The 19,528-nt window shown below is 37.5% G+C and overlaps 1 long non-coding RNA gene across 1 annotated transcript in view; it reads right to left on the reverse strand.

Moving 5' to 3' along the window:
• Window positions 1–1,185: 1,185 nt before the first annotated feature.
• The window catches only part of LINC00393 (long intergenic non-protein coding RNA 393), a 116,003-nt gene continuing 97,660 nt past the window's right edge, over window positions 1,186–19,528 (reverse strand). The window contains exons 3-4 of the long non-coding RNA NR_184171.1: window positions 2,085–2,126; window positions 1,186–1,959 (exon numbers count right to left, since the gene is read on the reverse strand). This is a non-coding gene — a long non-coding RNA (long intergenic non-protein coding RNA 393). The remainder of the gene's footprint in view (window positions 1,960–2,084; window positions 2,127–19,528) is intronic.

Genomic DNA, 19,528 nt, shown 5'->3' on the forward strand with positions numbered 1-19,528 from the left:
AAATAGAACTAGTAACCTTGCTATGCTAAGTCATATTGGAGCTTAAGGCAAAAGGAAAAAAATCAGTAGTATTGATCCTGTCTTTATTTAAAACTTTGATATTTTTTATCATGAATATTTTTGCATATATTTTATCTTAAAAATATTGCATTAAAATACTATCTATCCTGATTATTGTGTTATTTGGTGCTGACTTAAGTTTTATGCCCAAGACAAGTCCTCACCACATCACTGAAGGTTAGAGCATCAGTTTTTCCTGTGCCTTGCATACAAACACAGCTCTTTCAGGAAGGTGCCCCTTACTCTTCTCTGTACAAGAAATCTCTGCTGATTACAGATGGAGCCAGCAGGCAGGAAAGAAAGTTGATTGCATTCAATGATTTGAGAGACACTCAAAGATCACCTGACCCATTAAACTAATTTCCCTCTCCATTAGGTTATAATGGCAAAGTTGATGGTTTGGTTCAAGAAGAAACAAAACACATATTGGTTTCAAAGGGAATACAAGGGAAAATCTTGGGTGTCATAGGTCTCTCTTATATTTGTTCATAAAGTGATTGAGCTCCTGGAGAATAAGTTCCCAAGGAAGAGGAATGTTGAAATATTAATAGAAGGTAGGAGTTCAGGAGAAGACAGGGACCACCGCTTGCCCATAGCTGATGCTTATCTGCACATCGTCTGTTTAGCAACCGCACACTTAGTGTATACTAAACAATCTTAGACTTGCTCACAGGCTGCTTTGTAATTAGTCTCTGGATGAATCACGTGGGTACATTTATCTTCTCCAATTAGACAGTGATTTTAATTTCAGAAATCATGTGTCCTCTCTTTGTTTGGATCCTATTCTTTGAAGAGGATTTTATTAAGGAGCCATTCCAGAAACTTTGTCTAAGTTACATCTGACTTCATTCATTCAGTCTTTTGTTTATTCTGTTCACACACAATACACTTGAGACCAAATAGAATGGAGTAGATATTGAATTAAGTAACTAAGCATTAAAAAGAATTAAAAGCCCAGTTGCCTTCAGTGTTTATTAATTGCTGAGAGCTACATGGAGACAATTTCTACTCTCCAGGAGCTTCTAAAGCAGCGAGTGGATGCCTCCAATACAGATATACATGAATAGCATATATAAAATAACCCAAAACTTTAAACCTACGTATCAAAGCAAATTGACAGTTAAATCACATTCTTAAGGCATAGCAATATTTATTTCATATATTTCCAAACCTAATGTTGCATGCCCCTACAGCCAAGCTCATGGGTCTTTGAAGATGCAAACAGTCTGAGTACAAATTCACTTTTCATGCAAAAACTCCAAAACACAGCCGGCAAATGTGCCCTTCATAAATCATCAAATAGTTTCTTCAGTTGTAATACTATATGAATTAAAATTGTCAAGACTGTTTTCCTTTTATAGCAGTTGATTCAGTATCTTTTAAAGTCCTCAAAGCTGTCAGATTTCTACAGCTTGAACTTCAATAAATAAACTTAGGTTTTCTTTGTATTTAGAGGTTTACAAGAGACTTTCAAGCTCTGACATGTTTAGAAAGTTACCTTAGTAGGTTGAGATTTTATTACTATGATAACTTAACAAGACAGAGGTCTTAAGAGTAATTTCCTCTGTGACTTTCAGAAGAATTTACCATTTATGACTTGAGAGCACTGTCTTACATAAAAACTTATATTTTGGGAGATTATCTTTCAACAGAACATTTATCTCTCTCTATTTTTTATATTCTAGAATGCACTTACAAGTGTATTGGACAGAGAGAGTATCTTTTGGAACATTTTTGCACTGGTGAAAAGTTGTTCCGCTTTTGTAGGCCTTCGTGCCATGAAGTCAGTGAATATGCCAATCCACGCTGCCTGGTTTAGCAACAGGTGAGGAGGAAACTCCACCTCCGTGAAGACTTGTTTGTATTGAGCTGATGAATGGCCATGTGAGACGCCAACAACTGAGGGAAGAAAGTAATTCCCATGTCAACAGGAGTCCCAGGGACTTACCAAAAAAGTCACCTCTATAAACGTCTTCCAGAGGATAATGCCCATTTCCTAAGTTCACCGGGACTTGGGGACTCACCACTCTGTGGTATAGAGACCTCACTGCAGTTGACCTCCAAACCTGTGGGGCACAGAAGAAGAGACAGGTGTAGGTAGAACAGGATATCTGTTTTTATGTCTCTCCTGGCTACAGAAGACTCAGCAAAAGTGTACCTGGATGTCCAACACAAGGGAGGGCTCATAATGGTATTATGCCTCCACCTTTTGTTACTGTGAAGGCCATGACCAGATGGGAGGAAGGTACCTTCTGATGACATTACTGTCCTAGAGAACATTTGAGTAGGTAAGAGGAAGATGCCATGGTCTTCAATATTGTTTTGTACCATAGTATATATAACAAATCATGAAGCAAGTTAGAGTGGTATGAAGTTAACAGGAACTTTTTATTTTGAAAGTTTTAAAATGATCACCAAGAATTATCACAGTAGAAATGGGAGAGAAAAATTAATATATGTATATTAATTTTATAATCTACTATGTAATGTAATAATCTGTATGTGTGTGCATGTTTGTGTGTGTTTTGCTTTGTTCTCAGCTATTTCTCTGACTGTTGTCCTTTTGGGGTTTATCTGCTCCCACAATACCTGCTGAGGATGAGTCAATCCTCTCTCAGTTGGATATAATTTGTAGCCACATTATCCTGTCTAATAGGAGCAAAAAGCAACCAGAAAGATTTCCTGAGGAATTGCTGGCACATGCAAATGGGAAACTGGTCATTTTAATTTTGGTTGTCATGACGTTTCTTCAATTACCTCATTGACCTGAATCATCACACTTCTTTACACTGTTTTCAGCCTTATTGTCTGGAAAATACAGACTTGTTTTCTTATTTGGATAGCCTAAGGAAAAACCATGAGCAAGTCTGGGTGTTATGGTTCTCCCAAGTGTTACATACATGCAGAAAATGTCATTTGAAGTTTTAATCTAAAAGAGTATAACTGAATGCTAGTCAAACATTCACTGGGTTTATTTCTTTGCCAAAGAGTCAATCCTGGCTGATATCTTCATTTTGTAAATTGAGAAAGATATACCTATAAATGACAAATGTGGAGGGTACCAAGCACATAAGGCTAAGAGAAATAAAATATAAATATATTCATGTGAAACCTTCTGGAAGGCATGGAGACAAACACAGGTATGTTATATAAAGTAATCTGTCCTCATTTCTCCAGGTAGAGGCTTAAAAATGCTATTCATCATCTTCACTATAGCTGAGATAATTTGATTAATAATAGCTATAATTATGTATCAAAACATAAAGAAGAAAAAGAATAGTCAAATATTTGCCATCACTATACAGTAATTTGTCCTTAGGAAGACATTCAGTATATATTCTAGCTCTTTTTTTGATAAATAGAAAAGATTTTGGTAGACATTAGACTAATACATGAACCAATTACTGACACATAAATATATGAGAAACAAATTAAAAATATAAAACTTGTTCTCACAGGAAGAGACAAGGCATGGTTTTTAGTAATGAAGAAAGAAATAATTAGTCCTGATTGATATCTACAAGCTCAACTCATTTCATAAAAATTAGCCTGTGGGGTGGTACTAATAGGAAAATAAATGAAATCAATAATTACAGTAATAATTATCTGCTTACATTAAAATGCATATGAAAAAATATTTAAATTTCTTTTCTCATCAGCTGGTCTCCAGCATGCATGGGTAATGAATGGCGTTTACCAAACTTGTTGCTGGTGAAAATGTGGACAAATATAAGCAGAACCTTGATTCCTTTTCACTATGTCCAACCTATAAAAAAATTCAAGGCTGGTCTTTCCCAGAAGTGATGAGGGTACATTGTGTGTTTGAGATCAGATGGTCAGGTGTGCAGCCTTTGTGAATAGGCCTATTCTGCTAACATTTACCAAGGATCACAAGTTCCTGTAGCTAGCTAGAAGATCTAGGAGCTAGTCTATTGTTTGAACAAACTGAAGCTTTCTTTGGAAAATCTTGGCAATGGGAAGTGCATTTGCGTATTTATGCATGACAACTGTCACACATTTTTCTCTCTGAAGGAAATAAGTCTTTAATTTCCTATTGAACTTGTTCAATTGACAGATTTTTTTTTTTTTTTTTGGCAGCAGCTTCATGTATAAAACATGAGGCAGAAACAGACTACCAGTACTATGTGGAAATCTTCTGAAAGGAAGATCTTTTTGGTTAGAGTCATTTACACTGGAAACAAAAAAATGATCTTACTGAAAGCGGTGCTATATGAAGTGGATGGCTAAAATAATTTTCAAGTTTCCTCTCTTTATAGAGTCCAGATAATGTGGTAGTAAGTTGAAACTGGCACGTGCTGATAATTTTAGAAATAGGTTTGCAACCCAATTTTGACAACAGTTTTTTCATAGCATTTCCTTGAGTGATGTTTTCCAAATATTGGAGGATACTAGATAACTCATCATAGAGATATACAACCTACTTTATCATATTTGCATGACTTTTAGTAGCTTATATGTAGCTCCCAGGATATATAATTCCCTACCCTGTGTTGTTACTTCAACAATACCTTAAAGCATATCCTTGTTCATATGGCGATGCCATCTGAGGAAGGCACCTAGCTTATCAGAGCATTCTATCCTCAGTATGGAATCTGGAGAGCTATGAACCCCTTTTATTTTTACAAATTTCTCTCCATTTGAAATTACTGGCCACAGCCTGGTTTCTAGATTCCAAAATTACTCTCTTAAAGCTTTGAGACTGAGTCAAATCAGAAAGCCCACAGTAACATAGCGGGTGCTCTTAGCCTAATACATTTGTCAGAAATTCTGAATGCCACTTACTTCCCTTGCTCCTCATTCCCGTAGTTGTTTTGAGCCTAGCCTGAAATCACATTTTGAGAGTGATCTGGAGATCTTCAAATAAACCTATATCTTCCAAACGGACCTAAGTTTTCTGAACAGGTCTTGGCTAACAACAGTACAAGAACTCTCTGGAAGCAAAACAAAACAAACAAAATAAACGCAATACTTTGCCAGCTAATTAGCTTTCTGATTGCCAATAGGGAATTATTCATTTCCATGCATTCATTTTCTCTAACACACTACGCTAGTCTGGTGTTAGTTCAGTCATAGCATAGCAAAAGATATATGTGTGTTCTTAGCTTATCTGTGTATATATTTTCTTTCTGCCTGAGTCAATCAGGCATTTATTTTTAGTACCTTCTATTGCTAAGAACTCTGTAAGGTGCTATGGGTTACATAAAGAAGCAGAAGAGTCCATTCTTAGTTTCAGGTTTACAGTTCAGTTGGAAAGAACAAATTAATGGAAGCCAAAAAAGCAATGTATTGTTAAATTATCAAGTACGGAGCTTAGCATGATAGAAGTTCACAGAATAATCAAAAGATAAGATAGAGTTGAGTTGGGGAACATTCAATGAACAAAGTAATGCCAGAGCTGTTTATTGAAGGATGGTTGTTTTTTTTTTGTTTTTTTGGTTTTTGTTTTTTGTTTTTTGTTTTTTTTAGATGGAGTCTTACTCTGTTGCCCAGGCTGGAGTGCAGCAGCGCAATCTCGGCTCACTGCAAACTCTGCCTCCCGGGTTCAAGCGATTCTTCTGCCTCAGCCTCCTGAGTAGCTGGGACTACAGGTGCATGCCACGATGCCTGGCTAATTTTTCTATTTTTAGTAGAGATGGGGTTTCACTATATTGGCCAGGCTGGTCTCGATCTCCTGACCTCATGATCAGCCTGCCTTGGCCTCCCAAAGTGCTGGCAGTGCTGGGATTACAGGCATGAGCCACCGCGCCCAGCCAAAGGATGGTCTTGATAGAGAGGCATATTTATAAATATGAAAGACAAGTCATATTTTCCCCCAGACATAATTGGCTGTCTTAACCATGTAATTTCCTTCCAATGCAACACATTATTCCAGATATAAAATGGTCACTTGAAAGAGAATCAGTCTTTTCCTCAGTTTTTCTGGAATATAAGTGCAGTTCTTTTTCTTTAAGGCTAGAGACTTGGTATATTAAATGTACTAAACTTTCTTTTTAATGTTAAGTAGAGTGAGATTTTGAGGATGTAATCCTAACTGAACAGTAACCAATACCAAGTAACTTATTGAACCAAGCTTTAAATACCATGATGAAAAAACTATATTTCTTATTAATTATGCCAAAATAAACTGCCTTTAAAAGTATATTAAGCTTCCCAGGAATCTAAAGATGCAGGAAGATAGTTACAATGTGGTTCAAATTTAGTTTGCCCCACAGGGTCCATCATGTAGGCACACTATGCCTCCGTGTTAATGTATTCTAAGTTTGGTAAAACCATGGCCACCTTCCTATGGCCAGAAACCAATCTTTTGCAGAGGAATGGTCCCCAGACAAGCCCAAATACGTGGCTTCCCAAAGCTTTTTCATGACTATACAGTCCCATAAAATGTTGCTAAGGATATTATAGCGTCACAGAGTTTTAGAGTTTGGAGGAGCCATAGAGATCATCGTTCAACTCTCAAAATTACAGTGAAGAAAGCACAGCTGCGTAGAAGTGCCATCTGTTTTCACTTTGCTGTAGACTAATTATACTGGACTCTCTTCTGGACCTCCTTCTCAACTGTAGACATCCTAACACGTGGACTGCTTCTGAATCCTTCCACGGTATGGCAGGACTCCTGGAATCTTGGGAGCCTTTTCTGTGCCATGAAGACACTGAATAGAATGTACACCACAGCGTTTCCAGATGGTCAACCGGCAAGGGAGCTGTTTAAGCAAATGCATGAATGAAGGTGGCCATGGTTGGTGTGAGGCCGGGGAAGACCCTGCTTTAGTCTCATTCTATGTGAAATTCAGTCCTTTGATGAAAATTTTAAAATCTTACTGAATATAGATGTGGGGAAAACTATTATTTAAGAGTTGCAAGCCGGGTTCTACCTCTAGCTCAAATTTATGTAGCAAACTGGGAGAAATCCCGTAATATGCATTTTTTTGTTATGTAAAAGGTAAGGCAGAAGTTTAACCATAGTTCTTAAGGGGAAACTTAAATATAGTGAGATAAATTAGATTCAAATGTTTTAAACTAAGAAGTAAAATTCTCTGTTTGTTCATGTAAATGTAGGTATGTTTAGCAGTTGCTACCTAGGGGCCAATGTTTCCTTTCTCTGCATGGAATTAGACTCTTCTGGCATGTTTATTATTCAGCGGCCTTGAAGAGTGATTTTTTGTTTGAGGTTCTCTTCCCCATGCCCGGGAAAGTTGGAGCCATTTCAGTGAGAACTTGATGTTTACCTTATCCTGGAAGAGAAAAAAAAATATTGTGGTATGCAACCTATACAGAAAGATTGCTGTCTATTTAAGGCTAAATAAGGCAGATTTGGGAAAGTATATTAAAGTTTTAGTGCCATATATGGGTGACGCCATAGGACCAGACCACATCTCTGAAGATGGAAGTTGTGGTTTCCTCTGAAGTAGAGTAATCCACTGCCCATCACCCTGGGAAGAGGTGAATCTTGGGACTGCAAGTAAAAACTCGGGATTGTGGGGTTTTGACGGTTAGGTCTGGGGGAGAGTGTGGGGAGTCTTTTCTCCTCTCTCTGAAGCCTCATGGAAACCAAATAAAGCAGATGTGCTAGAGGGCACACCTGTTGAAGAGCGGTTGCCATCCTCATCCAGATACCAGGCTGGGAGAAAGACAGAGAAGTATCATTTAGGGACTCTGAAGAATGTTGTCCTGAACTTGGGGCTGGGAGGACTCTCCAGAGTAACTTGAGAGGACATCCACTGTAGCTTCTAATGTATTCTGCATGTGGATAGTCCCTTTTGTTTTCTATTAACTTTCAGCAAAGCCTGATTAGAACGTACCACTTGGTCTCTTCTTTGCTTGAGGGAAAGAACAGTGTCCCCTCTTAGAGGCCACGGGGCTGGTGGCATTGGTGTTCATCAGGAGAGGATAGCTGTGTCTGGTCCAGAAGACACGTGACAGGGGTTCTCAGTATAAAGGCAGCAAAGTGCAGTGTGATGAGCAAATGCATGAGCAAGACTGAACAAATGTGTGAGCACCACTATTTCCTCCCAGAAAATAGCTCAAAGATGCTTGGAAGTTCCCTAATTCATGGAAAACCAGTAGATGGGACTTGAGCTATTATTGTGGGAGCTTTACAAGGAAATATAACCTTATTTTATATTCATATATAGCTGATGCTTGAACATTTAATTATATGCATTTGTGTAATAGGTACCAGAGACTGTTCCCTTCTGTTTTACTGAACATAGTAAATCATCATATAACAGATCATTTTCCAGAATCTCTTGAAGTTTTACATTAAATAAGGATAGGGTGACTACTGGGCAGTCTTTACCAAGGGCAAGAGTATAATGGGAATCTTTTGTGACCTGACCAAAGCTAGCTCCTCACCATACCTCTTAATCAGCATAGCTGGTCAGCAGAGAGGAGTCTGATAAACTCTGGACTTTCTGACTAAAGTCTGAAATTATGGACTTTTGCTCACCTCTTCAGATGGCCTGGCACAGGTAGACCAAAGTGGGCAAAAAGGATATCAATAGCTTCAAAAAGAAACATAGAAAAAAGAATGGGCTATGTGGGGGTGGTGGCCCTTGGTCTATGACAGAGGAAGGCTGTTTTGGAAAACAAAAATGTGGCTGAGATTGAAAATTGCCTTAGGATCCAGCTATCCTGGCATATTGTTGTGGTTCGGGAACAAAGCTGAGCATTTGAACATGGGACACTCTTTGGTTTAGGTATGAGGGTGTCCTTGCAGGATGGACATGCTTTCGTGGCATGGTGCAAAGCTAGTTTTAACAATGATTTCCAGTGAGTGCAAAAAACAAAGCTATAGTAAAGGATTAAACTCATTTCCCTAGGGCATTGAGTAAGCCTTGAGATTCTTAAACTGAAATTAAACTGTAACAAGGGTCTGTATGTGTGTGGGAGAGGAATGCTTTCCAGGGCAGGTTTCAAAAGTGAGATACTAGACTTCCCACTAATATGTCATGTGGGTGCTCACTGGAAATATAAAGGAATATGACTGCTCTGTACCCTTGCATTAATGAATCAGTATGTGCCTATTGCGTTTGTAAAATTATAGAGAAATTACAACGTTACATTGTTTAGGGTAATCCCAAATCATAATACATACTGTGATTGTTTTTCTTTATGTTTATTAATTTAAATGAGAGGTCCAGGGAACATATCCTAAAAACCACAAAGAAGATTTGGTCTCTTCTGGGAGGTCTATGACAGTAAGTCACAGCACACAAATTTTCTTGCATAGCTGACTGCAGGCTAATTCTGAAATATCCCTTTTAAGTGATGTCAGTGGAAGTCTGAAAGCATATAATATAAACGCTGGGTAGTCTATCAACCTGTGGCTTCTCATTATATATGTGATTCACTATGTTAACTTGGTGCATTATATAACTTCGCAGTTTACAAAGCACTTTCACATATGTTATTTGTGCCTCACAATAACACCGATCAGTATGTAGAGCTATGATTATTAACCACATTTAATACTTGAGGACACTGGGCCCAAAGGTAATAAATTATATAACTATAAATAAGTACAAGAGGGTTTAAATTTAAAGAATAGATACTAACTGAAAAAAGGAAAGGAGTAACTTTGCAGTGATCAAAGTTAACAGCACCAATAAGGACACATATCAACATCATGTACCTCCTGATCTTATGCTCTAAGAAGACAACAACATCACTTCCATATGATTCTTGCCAGAAATACATAACCTGAATCATAAGAAAACATTAAACAAACCCAAATTGTGAGGCATTCTATCAAATAATTGGCCAGTACTGTCTAGGTCCATTTTGTGCTGCTATAACAGAATACTTGAGATTGGGTAATTTATAATGAACAGAAATTTATTTCTCATGATTCTGGAGGCTGGGAAGTCCAAGATTGAAGGGACAGCATCTGGTGAGGGCCTTCTTGCTACATTACCCTGTGGCAGAAGGCAGAAGGGAAAGAGAGCTCCTCAGTGAGAGAGCAAGAGGGGGCCAAATTTGCTTTTATAATTGATCCACTCCCAGAATAAAAACACTAATCCATTCATGAGGGCAGAGTCCTTGTGATCTAATCACCTCTTATTAGTCTCCCACCTCCCAACACTGTTGCATTAGGGATTAAGTTTCCACACAGGAACTTTGGAGGACACATTCAAATCATAGCAAGTACTATTAAAAAAGGTCAAAGCCATAAGAGACAAAGAAAGAATGAAGAACAGTTGCTGATTGTAGGAGACAAGGAACCATGATCACTAAATGCAATTTGGGAATTTCGATCCTGGACCTGAAAAAGAACATTAGTGGCACAACTGGTAAAATTTGAATAAGAATTATAAATTAGTTACTAATATTCTTGTCAAGGTTAATTTCACGATTTTGTTAATTGTGCTATGGCTATGTAAGATGTTAAAACTTGAGAAAGTTATGAGAAGGGTATACAGGAATTCTCTGTACTGTTTATACAACTTTTTTGTAAGTCTGAAGTTATTTCAAAACAAAAGTTAAAATAAATTATAAATAAACAGGCTTTCTAGTATAGCCAGGCCAATTTTTATCCCCAATGACAATGTACATAAGCTTCAAAACTCAATGTTAATCAAAATAAATAGTCCATTAATCTAAAAACTGGACTCATGAATGTCCCTATGGGGCTCTTCTATGTTTTACCATGGAATACTATGGAATTCTGGGGAGGAATAGAACACAGTGGTAAAAACTTTAGGCCTCGGATTTGGATAGATCGGTTTTACATACCAGTCCTGCCGTTTTGTACCTATGTGAACCTCAATTTCTCTATGTGAAAAATTGGAATGCATAGCAATATCATAAGATTGTTGAGGGATTAAAGGTGTCAATGTATGCTAAGGCCTGAACACAATGCTAGGTACAGGTCCCAGCTTTTGAACTATAATTGAATTTAAATAAAAGGGTGAGAAGAGAGCACCATGGGCCAGTTACCACTTTTTGTCAGAATGGTTACTTGGTTTGATATTTCACCAGCTTAAATGGGCACGTTTACTAAAAAGCTGCTTATGCATGCTTACTACTGATAATACAGAAGGGAAATAATGTCATTTAGACACATTTTCCAGGGATATTTTGAAAATAACTGAATTGCAGCTAAAAGCTTGCCATGGAAAAGATCTCAGCTGTCACCACTGCTGCATCTGGAGTCACTTGGGTACTGTCACCAGGAGAAAGTGGAAAAAAGGATCTCTGCTCAAAGCTTCAGTGCCCATGACAGAGAGCTAGGAAGAAACCATGATTGCTCCCAGAGTACAGCAAAGCCTGCTTTGAGTGGGTGGACAAGGCTTTATAAAACTTGGAAAGGCTCTTCAAAGAACAATTAAAAACAATCTCCTGTAGTGGGAGGTGAATCTGGCTGGGAAGCTCCTGCTTTCTTTCCCCAGGGTAGAATTCCCAGGCTTCTGGATCCTGGTGGAGTGCCCTTGGCAGTGGACAGCAAAGCATGTTCTCTTTTCACTTTCCTGGGGTTCAGAGTGGTGGTTTTGAGTACACGGAGTGAAGAACATCTGGCTCTCCTGAAGCTGAAAGAGATCTGAAGTCAGCAGGTGGGGGGTTGGAGGTTTATGAAAATAGTAGGGTGAAGTTCATTTTGTGGACAACTCTTGGCCCCGGGTGTTATTTATTTCAAATTTTATACTGCTGAGCTCCTGTGGGCTTATTACAGATCAATTCATAAACAAGCACACACTAAGTTGTGTCCTGGGGATAAATAATGAGTTTATGTGACTTTGGGGTTGCGTGTTAGAGGTGAGAGGGGAGCCACAGCTGAGGACTCAGTGTAATAAACTGGAATTCCAGGCTACACCCCTATGTGGACAAAAGACTTGAAGAAGAAATGTCCATGAACTATGCACAAGTTTTAAGGCACTGAACTCATATCTTTCACATTTCTAAAAGGAATTACTGTGAATTAAAGGCAAAAACGCATCCCATGGAGCAGCCAGCTCTCTTTAAGAGTACATGAATAGGTGTGATAAATATTTTTGGAGAACTGATCTGATCTATAAAATCACTTTAATATGTATTTAATATTTCTAGTAATAACAATCCAAAATCATTTATGCAATCATCTCACAAATACCTATGTGTCAGAATGACATGTAAGCCAAGATTTTAAATAATTTATGCTAAATATATTTTGATGATTTTATAGTTTTTCCTTCATAAGAAAGATTCTTATGATGTAATGAACATCAAGAGACGTCTCCCTTTCCCAACTCAAAACAGATCCCTTTATGGCAGTACTCTGTGCACATAGACTGTTAATCTTTGTGCATTTGAAGTGGTGGAAACTCAGTAAATGAAAGGATGAGTAATCACGACGGTTATGTGTGGCAGCCCTGTCTGAGCAGAGCAGTAACAAGGGAGGCTTCACAGTTCCAAATTACACATGAAACAAAAGGATGTTCATTTCTCACGATGAAGTCAATTTCCATGAGATCCTGGGAAGAAAAGTCCTCATCCAAGAGAAAGAATCTTAGCAATTCCAAGAAATCATTTAGCCCAGAAGTCCAGAGTCTTTTTGCAACACAAAATGTCACAGGTAGGCAAAGATATAATTGAAAGAGAAGAATGAGGGGAAAATGAAGGAACAATTTTTTCAGAGAGGGAGAGACTCATACAGAAGAAAACAGAGATTAAAATTGAGAGAATTCCCACGGAAGGACACAGAGCTCCCCCCGCCTCAGCCTTTCTCTGAATGTGACTCAGTAGTGTTCACGGCATAAGCCGTCCTCCTTGCTTCATGCCACCCTCATCCTCAACACAGGTTCCTGCACAGGCAGAATGGCTGGAAGCTCTGGATAGAGCACAATTCCAAGATGTCCCTATCCTAAAGTCAGGGAAAGACCACTCTGTGAAACAGACTCTAGAAGAACAGCAATTGGATGCCTTTGTTGTTTGTAAAGTAACCCATGGGCAATGGATTATAACTGAGTTGCTGATGGGATCATCCTGTTTCTCAGTCCAGTCAATAGAACTCTTCATTGTATTGTGATCTACTCACTATAGGATAGTTGTGATTTTGGTAACTAATAAAAACAGTAATTGGATAGTTCAGAATGTGTTTGTGTAATTGGTTAGCATTTATTCAGCCTAGTCCATGTGAAAAGGGGCACTGTATCTGAAAAAAACACAGTATTTCAATCATTACAAGGGTGAATTTGGTACTTAGGACAAAGACTCTCTCACTCTCTCTCTCTCTCTCTCTCTCTCTCTCTCTCTCTCTATCTCTCCATCCATGCATGCATGCATCCATCCATCCATGCATGCATGCATGCATCCATCCATGCATGCATGCATCCATCCATCCATCCATGCATCCATCATCTTCACATCCTATATATTAATTGTGTTCAATTTCCTCTTGCCACTACAAATTTTGGGCTCCAACATAAACTCAGTGATGCCTGGTAATCTTTTTCTTCCCCTTTCTTGTTCATCACAAATTATTACTCTCACCACCTGTGCTCTTACGCCAATCATCCTTTCTGTTTAAGAACACTTCTGGTAGACATAGTGGCTCATGCCTGTAATCCCAGCACTTTGGGAGGCTGAGATGGGAGGGTAGCTTGAGACTAGGAATTTAAGACCAGCCCATGCAACATAGTGAGACCTCATCTCTCAAAAAAAAAAAAAAAAAAATTAGCAGGACATGGTTGGTTGCATGCACCTCTGGTCCCAGCTACTTGGGAGGCTGAGGGAGGGAGGACCCTAAGCCCAGGAGCCCAGGAGTTCAAGGCGGCAGTGAGCCGTGATGGTGCCACTGCACTCCAGCCTGGATAACAGAGCAAGACCCTGTCTCAGAAAAAGAAAAAACAAAAAAAAAAAAAACAAGACAAAACAAAAAACACTAACACTCCCTCTAATTCCTTAGCTCAGAATATGAGGCCTCAGTCTTTAGTATCCATTTTGCTTGACTTCTCTGGGGTGTTTAATACTACTGTTTTTGAAACTCTCTCATTATTTGGTTTCTAGAATACCATTCTCTTTTGCTCCCTTTACCTCTCTGACTTTCCAGCTTCCTGTAGTGGGCTTCATTTCCCTACCGTCCTCTTCGGTGCTATTGTGCTAGAGTTCTATCCTGGCCCTCTTTCCTCAGCACACACCAAGAAATCTCATTCCTTCCCCCATTTCACCCACTTGCATGCTCAGCCCTCTCAAATGCATACCACCAGATCAGTTTCTTCTCCATCATTGCAGACCAAAGTAAGTGAAATTCAACATGCCTAAAAACAAATCCTTAGTTTTCCTCCCAGACTTGCTTCTACCACCTTTCTTAGCTTGGTTAATAACATGTCAATCCACAAAGTAACCCAGTGCCAAATTCAACTTTCTTACTCATCCCTTCTTTCATCTTCCATGTTCAAAGCTTTACCTCCTTAACATTTCCCAAACCTATCTTCTCAATTCTGTCCTCATTTCTGTGTCTTAGTTCAGACCTTATTCATCTTTTTATTTTGGAGAATCTTAATAGTTTTCTCAATGGTTTTCCTGCCTCTATTCTTGCATACCACTAACTGATTATCCACACTTCAGCCAGAGTGATTGTTTTAAAATTCAAATCTAACTAAACTACTTCTCTTCTTAAAACTCATTAGTGACTTCTCATTGCTTCATGGCCCTTGGATGCTCTTGGTGTCTAAGGCCTGATGGAACCGGCCTCTGCCTGCCATGTTCTTCTGCCTACCACCGCAGTCTATGGTCAGCCATAGCTCAGCATAAGAGTAGTGAATGAAGAGCTTGAATAAAGATCCCCACAGGCTTTTCTCATGTCTAAAAAGATAGTCTCAAATGGTTTTAGCCTTGATATTTCCCTTGCTTCATCAGCATACACTCTGATTGTGTTGAATTTTGTGATTATTGGATGTTCCCTTGATAGCCTTCTATCTTGTGTCTACCGGCTGTTGAGGGCTCATGTGTTGATCTCACATCATATCTGATGTTTGCTCCCATTGAGTAAAGAAGCCTGCTTCATGTTCTAACAAAAAAATGGAAAGATTTAACATCACATTGCCAGAATCTGAGGATCTCTAGCAATAGCATATGTCATTAATTTCAGCGTTTGATAATTTAAAAAATATGGAAAATTCCCACTCCCTACTTTTTTGCAGGATTCACAACTCTGCCAAGTTTGTAGCTCATCAGGATATTGACAAGCTAAATTTTGAGCTGTGAGGGAAAAAAAAATCTTCACATCTTTAGTTAGAAGCTTTATAAAGAGCAGAGCATTCAAATAAGCCAGTGTGGCGAGACGGGCAAAACACCAGATTCCATTTCCAGCTTTTCCAGGAACAAGCGGTATGATCAGGGGCAAATTCCTCAACCTTTTTGGGACTCAGTTTCCTCATTTGTTAATCAAAAGCCTTGGCTGATGACTAAAATTATTCCCAGCACTAAAACGAAACACAACAAACAAAAACTTTCACAATCTTATTTCAAATTCCTACCCAAATTGGTGACTATAGAATATTTCCTTCATGGGGAGGGGAAATAAAAATAGGCATTTACATTGTTCAAAATTAAGTGATTTTTCTTTAGAGCCATTAGCCCTTCATTTCCTACAAATCAAGTTATGACCATTTTAAAGTAGTTACTGAAAAATTACAGGAACTTTTTTTCTTCTTACCAACTGACGCTACAGGTAACACAATTTCACTAATGCTGACCGTATGAAGTACAGCCTGGGAGAAAGTCTTCAGTTTGCTTAAAAAGGAAAAACATCTTTCCATTGGAGTAAGAAATATTCTAGAGCATTTACTACTCTGAAGTTAGTGTACAGAGATGAATGTTTTAAAAAGTGTAACCAGCTAGTGGCTGACTCTGATGAACAAGGAGTCAAGACCAGCATGAGAGAGGAAGGAGAGAGAGTTTGTGTCGAAGGTGATCTAAAGCAGTGATTTCTCTATGGAGGGCCTTATCATGTCACTCCCACATTCTAGATCCTCAACACCTCCCAGAAAAATGCAGGATTCTTCTATTTCCTTCAGATATATAACAGATGTATAATGTTTAGACTATAACCAAACAGAAACCATAGTCAGCATGTCAGCCTCAACCAAATGGGAAATTATGACATGATCTGGGTGACTGTATTTTCTGATTAAAACACAAATAATAAGTTGATAATGGAAATATATCTGGGAAAAAACCCGTATTTGGAAATTGGCACATAAAACGTATATATATATATATATATATATATATATATATATACACACACACATATATATGTATACACACATACACACACACATATGTGTGTGTCTATTATACAAACATATAATTATAAATTAGAAAATACTCAGAACTGAAATATTTGAAAATATGATATCAAGTATATGATATAAAAAATATATCAAAACATAATACCACATATGAACATTTGTGGGTAGCAAAGCAGTAATGTAAGTTTTCACTTTAAATGTTATTTTAGAATAGAAATTGATGAATTACATGGACAACATAAGAAAGCAGAAAAAATACAGCTGAAAAAAAAGAAAAAAAGAGAAGAGACAAAAGGCCTAAAATTACAGAGAAAATATTTAATGCCTTAGAGAGAAACACAAAATCAATAGCTTATTCTTTGAAAAGCTAATAAAATAGACAAATCTTTGGTAAGATTTCTCAAGGGAAAGAAACAACAATATTAGAAATAAAATGGGAGGGCATATCTGCAGATGTAGCCTAAATAGAAAGCAATAAGAAAATACTATCAATAATTTTGTGCTAATAAATCTGCATACTTGAGGGAATGTATAATTTTCTAGAAAAAAATAACTTATCAAAACTGACTCTTGAATATAATACACCTGAATAGTAACCTCTTAACACACATTTATATACATATAAATCCCAAGCACTGCTCAGACTATTTCACAAATTCTACCAAACATTCACGAATCAGATCATTCCTGTCATCTCCAACTGCTCTGGGAACACTAAAAGAGAGAAAGCTCCCTAATCCTTTGTTATATATTCATGTAAAGCTTGATCCCTAAATCAGAAAAGTATAACATGAGACAGGAAAATTATACATCCATCTCCTTTGTCCTCATAAATATAAACTTCCTTTTAGACAGAGTAAGCAAAACCTAACAATGCATTTATTTAAATACATTTACCACATTAAGGATTAAAAGAAGAAAAATCATATGATTACTCGAATGGATTCAGAAAAAAACGGGTAAAATTCAGCAACTTCTGATTTGATAAATACTCTTAGCAAACTAGGAATAAGAGTGATTTCCTTATCTTCATAATGAGTGTCTTTCAGAAAACCTATAACGAGCTACACATTACAAGAGAAATTTAAAGCAATCCCTTAAAATATGAAAATACAAGGGAAGAAGATGTCCACTACCCTGACTTAAACTGGAGTCTCACTCAGTACAAGACAAAAATAAAATAGAAAAATAAAAAGAGGAAAATCTGTCATTATTATTGATGATGATTATAAACATAGAGAATGCAAGAGAATCTGCAGAAAACTAGAAAAAATAAGGGCCCTCAGAGAGGTTGTGTGATAACTGATAATTATTCAAAAAGCAATAATTTGCCTCTACACTATCCAAAAAGAGAAAATGTAATTTTAAAAATGTAATATTAACTACAGCAAAAAATATAACATACTTGAGAATAAATCTAACAGTGCGCAAGAACTTTTTAGAAAGAAATATTAAAATATTGACAGATATTAAAGAGGCTCTGACTACATGGAAAGACATTACTGTATCCAGAGGTAAGAGGAATCAATAATAAAATGATGTCAATTCTCTCATAATGCAGGCACAACATTATGCAAAGCATGACCCGTGATATGATTCATTACATTACAGTGCACCAAACACTTAGACATTGTTCTATTTTATATTTAAAATAATATAAATAATAGCCAAGTTAAGTTGTGTTTGTTTTTAGTTACCAAAAAATTGAGGGCCTTTTTTTCCTCACTAATTGATGCTGCTAGTGACATCATTTCACAAACATTGACAATATGATGTATAGCCTGAAGATAATATGCAATATTTTTAGGAAGTTTTCATTGGGGGATTTTTTTTTTGAGGCAGGGAAGAGTATTATTGTTCAAATAGCATTATAAAGCATTCTTTCCTTTCACTCATTCTCCTACTCTAATCTGTTTGTTGAGTGCTCACTGTGCCTCTGCTCTCAGTGAGGCAGAAAAAACACGTTTTATTTTGCTATGTTGCATAGTCACTAAAGTTTATTCACTAAAATGAATAAAGTGAATAAAGCTTATTCACTAAAGTCACTAAAGATTATTCACTCCTCTACATGAGGCTGGATTTCTACCTGGTAAGGAGCAGAAGAGGTGCTAGCCAAGCATGGTCCATCTTAGCCTCAACTCCATTAGTCTAGAGAACCCTGACCCATTCCCGAAGCTTCACAAAGAAAGCCATGGCTCAAGGCTAAGATGACAACAAGGCATAGGCAGGTTTCCTTGACTGCTGGAATCGAGCTTTTCTGCTTGGCACATAGACATAGCTGAGAAGCAGTACTCTTGCACAGAATTGGAACTTGTCTCCTTGTTAGATAGGCCCATAACTAGTGCTGTTAATTGGCTGTGGCAACAACAGACTTGGGATCTTAGAATCCAACACTAGAGAGTGTTGTGAGCATTTTACTCTGTCTCATTGAAGCCTCTGTCTTCTACTTCTAAACATTTTTTGTCCTTTTCTTCCTCCGTTAACTTCCCTTTTCCCCTCATTCTCATCTGTGTAGTCTCTTTCCTGTCATTTTCACTCTATTTTATTATTTTCTTTTTTTCTCACTTCTCTCTCCTTCTTATCCTTATGTACTCTTTTTCTCTACTTCCTCGCCCACCCCATATACCCCAGTTTCTGGGTGTATTCCCCTGCCTCCACCAATTTCCCTAGGTTCTCCCTCTCTCTGACTCTATTCCATAGTCTTCTAATATTCATTCTTCTAAAACTTTTCTATTGATCATCTCATGGCAACATGTAGGCCATCACTCTAACAAAAAGAAATAGCAACATTCCCAGTGTGGCAGATGCATGTTAATAGAACAGAAACATTATCCAGATGAAGAGTCTGTGCCCCATTTACCTCCAAGCCTCCTCTTCTCTTGGCAAATGTGTTTCTTTATTTTCTTTTTTTGTGTAGGCAGAAAACATTTTGGATAATACCCCAGAGATTATTTATCATGAATTAGCCCAATTCAGTTTTTACTGCTGTGTTTTTTATTGTCTTATAGTTAAATATTGGCTTAGCCATGAATCCAGAAACTCTCACTGGAGCTCTATATCCAAGTTACTTTATCAATAAGACTATTACACAAATAACTGAATATTCATATGTGCTTATGAAAATCAGAATTACTTACGTGAGCCTCAAGAAATTTAAAAAATGATTAATCTATTGATTTCAGAGGGAAACAACGTCCAGGCTGATCAATTTGGAGAAT

This window comes from Homo sapiens, chromosome 13 (assembly GCF_000001405.40).
Source record: "Homo sapiens chromosome 13, GRCh38.p14 Primary Assembly".
Lineage (NCBI taxonomy): Eukaryota > Metazoa > Chordata > Mammalia > Primates > Hominidae > Homo > Homo sapiens.